Source organism: Homo sapiens, chromosome 15 (genome assembly GCF_000001405.40).
Source record: "Homo sapiens chromosome 15, GRCh38.p14 Primary Assembly".
Lineage (NCBI taxonomy): Eukaryota > Metazoa > Chordata > Mammalia > Primates > Hominidae > Homo > Homo sapiens.
This window is the reverse complement of record NC_000015.10, coordinates 39,569,847-39,581,070: the sequence shown is the minus strand read 5'-3', so window position 1 is coordinate 39,581,070 and position 11,224 is coordinate 39,569,847. Positions and strand designations below refer to the sequence as shown.

The 11,224-nt window shown below is 44.8% G+C and overlaps 1 protein-coding gene across 1 annotated transcript, besides 3 other annotated features; it reads right to left on the bottom strand.

The window, feature by feature from the left end:
- LOC124903470 (uncharacterized) lies at window positions 77-1,264 on the bottom strand. Its single transcript, XM_047433405.1, has one exon. The coding sequence runs from the start codon at window positions 751-753 to the stop codon at window positions 319-321; it is 435 nt and encodes a 144-aa protein (XP_047289361.1). The 5' UTR covers window positions 754-1,264; the 3' UTR covers window positions 77-318.
- Window positions 164-901: an enhancer, noted in NCBI's record as "NANOG-H3K27ac-H3K4me1 hESC enhancer chr15:39872371-39873108 (GRCh37/hg19 assembly coordinates)". NCBI's record gives its function as "activates a minimal SCP1, AML or CMV promoter by ChIP-STARR-seq in primed H9 embryonic stem cells {active_cell/tissue: H9 hESC(primed)}" and the evidence as "EXISTENCE:reporter gene assay evidence [ECO:0000049][PMID:30033119]".
- Window positions 452-501: a silencer, noted in NCBI's record as "silent region_6311". NCBI's record gives its function as "represses an Ori minimal core promoter by ATAC-STARR-seq in GM12878 lymphoblastoid cells {active_cell/tissue: GM12878}" and the evidence as "EXISTENCE:reporter gene assay evidence [ECO:0000049][PMID:35858748]".
- Window positions 512-741: a silencer, noted in NCBI's record as "silent region_6310". NCBI's record gives its function as "represses an Ori minimal core promoter by ATAC-STARR-seq in GM12878 lymphoblastoid cells {active_cell/tissue: GM12878}" and the evidence as "EXISTENCE:reporter gene assay evidence [ECO:0000049][PMID:35858748]".
- Window positions 1,265-11,224: the final 9,960 nt, after the last annotated feature.

Below are 11,224 nucleotides of genomic sequence, written 5' to 3'. Positions count from 1 at the left end.
GGAGGAGCCGCGCGCTTTTAAAGGGGCGCTCGCATTCCTGGGGATTCCTCCGGCCAATGGGCGGCGGCCGGGCAGGAAGCGGGAGGTGGGGGCCAGTCTGGGCTCCTCTCTCCGCCCCCCGCTGCCTGGCGCGCAACTTTCCAGCTAGAAAGTGAAGGGGGCGGGGGTCGGGGCTTGGGAGCACTAGAACTTCTCAGAAAAGTCGGTGCCCGCCCACGCAGCCTTGGCGCGCACGGGCTCGGCGCTCGTACTCTTGCGCCACGCGGGCTCGGGGTGATCAGCAAGCATCCCGAAAAGGGACGGGGCTGGGGAGACCACCTAGGAGGGCCCGCGGGGTGGCGCAGGGGCTTTCGGGCGAGCTGATCTCCCGGAATGCCTGGTTGATGGCGAGAGGTGGATACTAGAGACTGGGCCCGTTTTGTAAAAAGAAAAATGGGCCGACGGGGCGCAGGGGACACCAAGAGAGCCATTCGTTAAAGTACCTGCCCCTCGGGCCCTCGCTGACTCTCCTCCACCGTCCCCGTGGGGTGAGGACACGCGTCCCCCGAGCGCCTGTCCTGAGCTGGCCCCACGCCCGCCCCGGAGGGAGGTGAGCGCGGCGTCGGCGGGGCCGGCAGGTTGGTGCGCCGCGTTCGCCTTCGCTGCCTTCGGGCCCTTTCCTGCCGCGGCTGCCAGGGGGCCCACAGAGACGCCTCTCCCGCTGCCGCGGCGCTCCCTCGGCCGGCCGCTTGGGGGCGGTGTGCGTATTCTCATCAAGGGGCCCGGGGAGGACAGCTGCTTTCTACTCGAATTTTAAGGAAACTTACTCGTATCCAGTTTCCACAAGCCAAATTGAAATTGTGTCTTGAAAAACAGTTTTTGTGCCCACTCGTGCTTCTTAACGTGACTCCTGTTTGGAGAATTTGCAGAACCATCTGGCTCCAGAGTCTTCAGCTATTTACAGAGCAGACCCATAGAGTAATAAATTACTCTCTGCCTATTATTGTATTTCCCTTTTTCCTCCCTAAACGTTCTTTTCATTTTTCGGCTCCTGAACCCGAGGTGTGGGTTACATTTCTGTGGGTGCACACATTGCCATGAGTGCCGCTGCCTAGTGCTTCTGTCATTGAAGTCTGGTCTCCAAGCCACTGTCCCAAGCCAGCATGACTCTAGCTTCCTGGAATTCCATTCATCTCTTCGGGATGGGACGTCAGCCGCCTCGCTCCCTCTGCTGTGATCCAGCGCTATCGGGCTCGCTCCGAGGCCAGGGCATAGGTAGAAGCTTGACCAAATAAGGATCTCAGCACGGGCAGGGGGAAACCCCTGGGGTTCACCTCCCATCTTAGCACTTAAACCTGGCAGGACTCCCGACTGCTGCAAACAGCCAAGTGTTTACATTCATCAAACAGCAGTTTCGCTTTTCTTGCGTGGGAGTGTTGTATGACAAGATGGTGTGTGTGTGTGTGTGTGTGTGTGTGTATTACGGAAAGAGTGTTTTCTAGTTACTCAATATGTATATAAAATGCCTCTAAAAGATGACCGGTATGTTCCTAAGGCACATGTTTGTTGGATTTCAGATGTTGGGAGGCAGAAAGAAAAGTTTCTACTGGTTGATGAATAAAATCAGATTCTTGTCCCGCAAATCATAGGTAATGATTCATCCAAGCAGATCTGAAGATTCTGGAATCGGCACCCATCCATCTCCCTCCCCTTCCTTCTCCTTCTACAGCATTCATCTTGCTCTTCGAAAAGTAATTGGGTTTTTTTTTTCTTCTTTCCACTTGCTCCATGATACTGGACAGTCAGAAATAGTTCTTGGAGGGATGGGCCGCTCATGGCTCTGGGCTCCTCTGGCCCACTGGATCATTGTGTACAAATCAGATGGGGGCTTGAGGGCTGCAAGAGGCCCACAAAAGCAGAATGCATCTTGTATGAAAAGATTATCTCCCCTAGGCTTAGCTGTGCAGACAGAGTAGAAACCAGCACTCACTGCCCCTTCAGGATTCATGCTGCCATGGCTGAGGGATTGTAGGAATGCCTCTGCAGATTTCTTGGAACTTGGCTTCTTTCAACAAAACAAGGACAACAGTTTCCAAACTTCATCATGCTTTACCAATAAGAAGGTGACCTATACGGTGGCAGGAAAGAGCTTTCTTATTAGAGAAAGCTGACAGGTATAGGAGCTGCTTATCTCAAACACAAAGCCCTTCCTCTTATCATGATACTTCAGTTGTTCTGGGTGGAAAGGAAAGGTCATAGAAGAGGGAGTGTCTGCGCCCCTTAACAGGAATTCACCCACATTCTTGCCAGCCAACATGTGCTGCAAATATTCCCCAAACCTCATATACCTCTGTGCAGCTTTGAGAGAAGCAGGGATGGGAAAAGGGAAAAGAAAACCTATCCCCTTTAATGTGAGGGCAATAGTCCATTTTGAGTGTGTCTCTACAACCTGGAAGCACTGTGATTTTAAGGCAATCAATTAACATGGGCCGAAGTGATGGACCTTTCAGGGAGCTGGTCCAGTTCTCTTTTTTGCCAAGTTGTCATCCTTGAGGATTAGTTACTGAAAATTGTAAGGCATATGGCATTTCACCGTAGGATTTCCTTTTTCTAAGTTTCTCTAATTGGAGGTGGGATTGACCTAAATACATTGGCAGTAAGTGTGAGGAAAGGGCTGTCAGTTACAGCTAGTTTTAAAATTGCGTGTAATTAAGGAGAGCAACATAATTGAGAAAAAATATTTTGTTTATTTAGCATAGAACAGCAAGGTGGGCTGTGATTTTGTGTAGGAATTTTTTAAGTGTTGCAAATTTTCAGTAGTGGAACATTTCTTACAAGTGTGAAGCAATGAAAAATCATTGTATTCTAGAATAGTCTAAAATCATAGCATCTTCAAATTGAAGACATCATAAATTCATTTCTCTCTGAATATGTTCCCTAGATCATAATTCTAAGTTGCTTTACTTTAACTGCATCAGAGGTCAGAGCCAGGAGGAAGTTACCAACAGATTTTTCTTGTCCTTCAATCAAACACCAATTCAAGCTCTCCCTTCTCCATGAGGTGTTTTCCATCTGTTTTATGCTGTGTGTTTTAAAGCACACATTATCTCTATCATAAAACTTATCACCTAACACTCTTTATTATTTAGTTTTTAAAAATTAGCTTTTATTTTTTCACATGTAAAGACCAGAATTTTTTTTTGGTGGGGGGTGGGATGGAGTCTTGCTCTGTCTCCCAGGCTGGAGTGCAGTGGTACAATCTCAGCTCACTGCAACTTTTGCCTCCCAGATTCAAGCGATTTTCCTGCCTCAGCCTCCTGAGTAGCTGGGATTCCAGGCGTGTGCCACTACATCCAACTAATTTTTGTATTTTTTAGTAGAGTTGGGGTTTCGCCATGTTGGCCAGGCTGGTCTCAAACTCATCACCTCAGGTGATCCACCCTCCTTGGCTTCCCAAATTGCTGAGATTACAGGCGTGAGCCACTGTGCCCAGGCAAGGACCAGACTTGAAGTGCCCAAAGCCCTGGGCTTGGGAAGAGAGAGTTCTTATGTTTAAATTTCCAAATCTCTTTGTGTACAAGTCAATTATGGCACAGAAGGACGGGACTACTCACCATTTTCCTACCAGCTCTACCATTTTACTCAGTTATCCCTTAGCTCTTGGTGGGTAAATGTGGTGAGTGACTCACAAACATTGTACTCCTCTTCAAAGAACTGAAGCAATACTTTTATGGAATTGATCTCAGTGGGCAGGGGTAGGCATATTGGTTAAGGGTAAACACCTCCTCCCCTTTTTCCCACTTCCCTGCCAGTGACTGATTTAGGAATTGGCATGTGATTCAAATCTGACGAGGTTTGCTGAAGGCTTCCGGGAAAAGTCCTTTGTTGCTTTTAAGGAAGAGCCATGTGAAATCAGGCTTTCTCCATCTCTTTTGGATACCAACAAGAATGCCGATAAGTGCTGTTTGGTGCTATTGGCCACTGGGGAGCCAAGTTTAGTGTGAAACCAGTGTTGGAGGAGGAAGAACAAAAGCATAGAAAGAACTCGTATGTCAGGTCACATTTTTGAGCTGCTAAATCTCTCAACTCTTAAGGGAATCCTACTTCTAGATTTCTTTGGTTATGTGCTTATTATTTAAGCCAAGTTGTTGTTTTCTATTTCTTAGAACCGTAGACATCATAACGGCCCCTTTCCCTGTGTTTGGATGGCCTTTTCACTCATGCTTTGATTAAACCTCTTCTTATTCCTTTAGAATAAGAGAAGTAAGGATAGGTCATAGGATAAACACATTGTAAAGGCTCTTCACCTATATTACTAAGATGCTTTCCAGAAAATTTGCACCATTTACTGTCCTGCCCATGGCATGAGGCAGCCCTTCCCCCTATCTCTTTGCCTGCAGCCACCCTAGTTCCACACACTCTTAACTGCAGGCTGGTAAGGGTGAGCGTTATTTCCGATTTTATTGTGTCTTTGTATCCCTCTTTTGGGTAACTTTGAGATGTAGTCCAGCAGGTTCATAAAGAAAAGAATAACCAGGATGGATGGATTCCAGTGAAGGGGCAGGGGCATTGACCTGCTAGGAAACCAAGGGTATGGAGGAAAGAAGATGGGAAAAGGAGATGGTGAGGTCTCACACTGGGCCGAAAGATGGAAATGGGGAAGATTAGCAAGGTAGGAAGGTGAGGACATGGAGAACAGGCTCTTAACATGTAATAATGATAAATCCCCAAAAGCCGTCTTTGGCAAAAGTCTTTTTCATACTCTGGACGATAGGTGCAGGCTACTGCAGTGTTGCTGATGGGGAGGACTGTATTTGGGAGCAGCCTCTCTGGCTCCACCAATGTTTATCCTTTATCATCTTAGTAAAAAATGCCACCTTATGGGGCATCCTAAATATGGTCTGGTTTGGGTTTCAGCGTGGAAGCTTTTTCAAGTGTTTGCCATTTTGCAGGAAGGCCACGCACCCAAAGGCAGCCTTACAGATCGGGGTGGTGGGGGGACTGGAAAGTCACCTGTGATTTAATTTGATGAGTCCAAACCATACCTCTTGCCTCTCAGTTTCTTCTCTCTCTACCCATGCTTGAAATTCCTCCAGAAATGAAATCACAGAATTTTTAAGCCAGAAAGAGCCATCTAGTTCAACCACTCAGTTAATAGATGAAGTCGGTTCAAAGAGGTGAAGCAACTTGAAACAGGTCCTGGAGACTGTTGGTGGTGGAAGTCCAGAAGACAGCACAGGTGCGCCGGCTGCCAGCCCACAGTCCTTCCCTTCATATGGTTCTGATCCTTAAGACTCATTTCATATGGTCTCAATGATGTTTCAGGATTAAAATCAGCAGAAATGTTTACTAGTTTCCCAATTAAGAGCAGGGTATGTGTTTCAGATAGGGAGACAGAGAAAGGTGGGGGGCTCAAGAGTGAGGTAAGGAGGAGGAAGGAGAGACAGAGGCAGCAGAGACTGGACATAGCCTATCAACCAAGGCCAACCCATGTTATCCCACACCCTTTCTCCTCGTCACGTGCAGCCCCAATCCCCCTAGTTCCCCAACTCTCTTTTGAACCCACTCAAACACTTGCTGTTGCTCCTGGGGGTGGTGCTGTGTTGGCTTACTGTTGGGATTGTCAGTTGCCATAGAATTACACTGTTCCTTCATATTTACTCAGCCTAGGACATGATGGAGCATCTCTTTTAATTCTCAAACAGGTTTTACAGAACTGGAAGCAATCTGGCCTCTCAGGTTTCATCAACTCATCTGGCTGGCACCAACCAGAGTGAGGTGTTTAATTGTTCGACCCACAACGGAGGGGCCCACAGAGCACGTTGTTATGTACAGGGTCCACACAGGTCATTAAAGGACTGAAAAAGGTATAGACATGTTAGTTTGCAGAAGAAGAGAATGTGGGCTGGGCGCAGTGGCTCACACCTGTAATCCCAGCACTTTGGAAGGCCAAGGCAGGTGGATCACTTGAAGTCAGGAGTTTGAGACTAGGCTGGCCAACATGGTGAAACCCTGTCTCTGCTAAAAATACAAAAACTAGCCAGGCATGGTGGCGGGTGCCTGTAATCCCAGCTACTCATGAGGCTGAGTATGAGAATCGCTTGAACCCGGAAGGCGGAGGCTGCAGAGAGCTGAGCTCACGCCATTGCACTCTGGCCCGGGCTACAGGATGGGACTCCATTTCCAAAAAAAAAAAAAAAAAAAAAAAAGAAGAGAGAATGTTCCTTAATTCTTTTCCTGTTTTTTTTTTTTTTTTTTTTTTTGAGATTATAAAGGTTTTGATCTTGTTATTTTCACAAAGGATGTAGAGCAGTAGCAGTATCTTTGGAAATAATGAAGGATTTCCTAAAAGCGAGGATTGTAACACATTGGAATGTTACTGAGATAGGTTGTGAAATATTTCCTGGGTGTCTTCACCAATAATATGGACTAGGCAGTTCATCTGGAATCCTGGGCTAGGTGTGGTCTCACCCAGTAACTTGGAGATTCATTGAGAGACTTCCAGAAGTTTCTGACAATAAATAAGAAAGTCTATGAGTCTGCAAATCTGTGAAATAATGGAGTTTCCAGGACTTCCATGACAGAGTCTACTTCTGATTCTAATTAAAGGCATTCCTCCTAAAGAATTTAATTTTTCTGAGGTTCAACTGGTACTTCAAGCCACCCATTTGCGAATTATAATTTTTCAACTTTTCTGAACAGTCTTAACATGTGCAGTACAGATTAGGTGATATTTTCAAGTTTTCTGCTATTCTTTTTTCCTTGGAAGAAAATTATGAGTGTCAGTCAGTTAAAAGACAAGCAAACATAAAGAAAATCAACTCTTGCTGGAAAGTGTTGGAATTGTACAAAAGATTTTGAAGATTGAACATGACATGGAGCTTGGCATGGGATTGTGGTCTGGGTGAAAGGCTCACATGCCACTGGAAAACATGGACAGCAACCAAATGGCTGGCCCGCTGGGCATTCGCTTGAAGTGATAGCCATCTCTTGGGAGGTTGCTTTTTTCCCTTTTTCCTTTTTTTAAGAGGTGAGATCATGACAACTTGCATTTTGCAGAACTGAGCCAAAAGAAATTGTCACTCTTTCTAATTTAAGAGGATGAGTGTATAGTCTGAAAAAAAGCTTTTAATTTTATTATGACAGCAAAGATAAACACTGCTGCTTCCTAGGGAAGAGGAGTTCACGAGTAAACTTTCTCTTTTTTCTTTTATCTCTCTCTATCAGCTTACGTTTTCTTCTTTGCTCTTTTCCCTCCCCTTCCCTTTTTCTCTTTCACTTGATCTCTTTCTCTTCTTTCTCTTCTTCCTCTGTGTCTCTTCCTCCCCCTTCTTATTCCCCTCCTCCTACCCCTCTTCTTTCTGTCTTCCTTCTTCTTTTTTACATTCTTCTTCTCCATGTTCTCCTTCTTCCTCCTCCTTTTCATCATCATCCTTTCTCTTACCTTTCTCCTTCCTCTTTTTCTTTCTCTTCTCCTTCCCTCTCTCCTTTTCCTTAGGGTGGTAGTGAGGATGAAAGCAGTAATCCGTGTGAAGCACTTAGCTCATGGTTATTCAATGAGCTAGTGTCCACTTGCTTGAGTTCAAAGTCCTGTCTTTGCTCAGAACTCTAATCCCTCCCTCCATCCCTCTTTGTCCCAAGACTTGAAGGCAGAGGGCATCTGTGTGATTTACTCTTCCTGTTTCCTTTGCCAGTTTGTCCATCCTGCCCTAAGGCATGGCGCTCAGTGCCTTGAGCCTCATTGCCTTGCTGGACCCAGAAGCTTGGGGACTGGAATCCATGGGAAGATGTGTGGGAGGAAGGCAGAGGTGGGATTACCAAGAAGCTGTAGAGGCTTAGGTGTCAGGGTCCCTCACATGCCTGGGTTCCTTCCCAGGCCCTAGAGAGGCCCTAGTGATGCGTTCATGTGGTCATGTTTGGCAACATTTGCACAAGTAAGACATGTTAGCTACAACTGCTTACATCCTCTGACTTTTCCATTTTAACTTGCCTCAGTCACACTTCTCTGTTAGAGAGTTAGAGTGACTACAGGCAATTTTTGGATCTGGCTCAGGGGACAGGTTGTGAAGATATATCTGTGTGGTTTGCAGTCACTGTGTGAGGTAACGGCTAGCCCTCCTTGTGTTGGAATGGCTTCCATTCATCTTCCTATCGCCCACCTGCTGTCCTGACCTGAAGATGTAGTGCTAGAGGTCTTATCATGATGGTCATGTCAACCTACAGTGGCTTCCCCTGGATGCATGTGGGTCATACAGGAGAGACAAGGTTTGAAATATACATGGCATAGTCAGAAGGCAGTCCGTGGACCAGTGCTACACAAAGAACTATCTAATACATTTATTTTGAGATTTTTTTCCCTTAGATTTTGTGATATTTGTTACTTTGTGTTTTAGTTTGATGAAACTTCTCTTTTTAAATAAATATTTATTTCTACCTAATTTTAAAACAATTTTTTTTGAGATGGAGTCTCGCTTTGTCTCCCAGGCTGGAGTGCAGTGGTGCAATCTCAGCTCACTATAACCTCCGCCTCCCGGGTTCAAGGAATTCTCCTGCCTGAGTAGCTGGGATTACAGGTGTGTGCCACCATACTTGGCTAATTTTTTGTATTTTTAGTAGAGACAGGGTTTCACCATGTTGGTCAGGCTGATCTAGAACTTCCGACCTTATGATCCGCCTGCCTCGGCCTCCCAAAGTGCTGGGATTACAGGCGTGAGCCACCGCACCCAGTAGAATTAATAATTTAATATTATTTTTTGAAAATAAGAAACCCTAAATTGTATACGTTTCAGTCCCATCCGATGTGAATCCTCCCCTGGAAGTAGGGGAAAAGAGAGAGAATGAGGAGGCAGAGAGCTTGGGAGTACTGGGGAGCACCACCCGGGGCCATAGTAGAGGCAGGAGTGTGAAGAGGCAGGCGAAACAGGGTGCGCAGGATTTTAATCTTTTGCTGCCTGTGCTTACGTGTGTGTGGTTGGCATTAATGGTGTGGGGAACACAGTAGACCAGACACTTGTACACATATTAGAGAATAAATTAAGCCAGAGGTGGAAAAGGAACATAACTTAGTGGTGCTAATTATTAAAATAACATACATGAATTGCTTACATCTGATACCTTGCTTTATGTGGCAGAATAATTATGTACACTAATTAATTTTTCAGACAAACCTAAGTTTTATTTAACTGCAATCTCAGATGTTCTCTAAGTGTAATAATCTTGCAAAGTTAGGAGTATGCATTCCAACAACTAAGCTTTAACGAGTTCAAGGTTTCAGTAGCTCAAATTATGTGCCTTCAGTGTGTGTGTGTGTGAGAACATTCTATTCTGAAATGCTCCTCACTGTTAAGAATAAATGGACCCTCCACCTTTAAGTGAGTAGAGTTGGGAGTTAACTTTAGGCAAACTACCTCTCTTTTAGCAGTTTGGAAAACGTATGGTGTTACATATACCCTGTGGGATAGGTCATTATTTCTCTTCTAGTATAAGTCAGTCTTTGTCTGTTTAAATATGTGAAATTTCCTTTATGTATTATTATTATTTAAATGTACACCATGGGTATTTTTCTTTTATGCTTTCCCTTAAATTCGTATGCTGAAAATTGTATAAACTATGTATTACAGTCCTTCAGAAATCATTTATGAAGGGTTTACAATGTGCCAGAGACACCCCAAGTGTCCACCAGCCTCATGAGGGATGCTGATAATGAGGCTGGGCCATGAGGGGTAATGCAGATGTGTGGAAATGCTAAGGAAGATCTATGGTCTAGCTGGCATGGTTGTGTGTGTGGGGTTGAGGGCAGAGAGGTCACAAAAGGTTTCCTTGAAAAGGTAGTGTCTGAGCTGAGTCTTGAAAGACTCCATTCAGAAAGGCTTAGACCTTTGGATACAGAAGAAAGACCATTTAATAGTGTTCACATTCACAACCACCATTTTTGTTTCCACTAAGCCCTCTTATGATCTGGGCAAGAGGATCTGACCAGTCACAAGGGCCCCAGAGAAGAACATCGGTGTTTTAATTCTCCCAAGTATATTTTGGAAGGATGGCTCTTTCAGCCCCTTCTTGCCTTCTCTTGCCTTCTGTGTTAAGATAATAGTGCAGAGCCAGGAATGCAATCCACCAAAGCCAGTAATTAACTTTCTCTTTGGATGGGGAGAGTGAATTCTAATTTCCTGGCTGATGAAATTTTCTGTGGGTTGTTCTGCCTGGTGTCTTCTTTGTTGGCCATTTTGCCAAATAGATGCCAATTTCCTCAGCTTTAATTAGTCCAGATGTCAGAAGCTCAAATCATAGTATCTTCAATGTGTGTGTTTGTCAACATCCTGCTTTTAAATGCTCCGGGCTTCTTCCTGTATATTTCTTTTAGCACAGTGCCTTGAACCTGATAGATACACAGTCTGTTGTGAATGAAGGAGTATAGGAATGAATGAATTAATATCCATGATGAGCTTTATTTACATGAGTGAACCTCAAAGCCTGAGGATCATATAAGAAATAGTTAAATGATTTTCTTTTTTTTCTTGATCTACTTAATTACGCTAAACTTCCTCTCCTCCACCCCCCAAAAAAACTCCACTCAAAAACACTTTAAATTCCAAAGAAAGGGAGCTTAAGAAATAGTTCTTAATCTATTTTTAAGCTCACAGGGGTTTTAAGACTAATTCTCTGTGAAAATGCGTCTAATTGAGAAAACATGCTTGGTTGAGGGATGAGAACAGCATGCATTTTCTTTGAACAGTTTAGGTTTTAACACACAAAAAAAACTCAAAGGAAAACAACAATAACAACAACAAACCTACAACCATAGATATGACTGGGTGGCAAACACAGAAAAGTGAATTACCCTGGATGACACCCACAACCAAACAGCAGCGCCTCTCTCCTGTCTAGCCTGGTCTGGTTAGGCTGGGAGATCTTGTTTTCCTCTCCATACCCCTACCAGAGAGGCCTCCCTAGCAACCTAAAAAGATGCCGACCTAAAGCCTAGCTGAACTGTAGTCTGAAACAGAGAAAAACATGCTGAACTGACCCTGTAGTGACTCACTGCCGAGTCTGGGGGATAGGTCACTCTGCAAGCCCACCTGGGCTCCAGCGTGTCTTTAATGAAGACCTGGCTGTGCAGCTTTTTCCTGATGTTGTCTCCGCCACCTTGGGATATGGGTTTAAACAGAAATGGAAAATTGTTCTCTCCAGGCTGAGGATTGTTACAGGGGTTATTTTAAAACATCCTTTTGGGGGTAGGGATAAA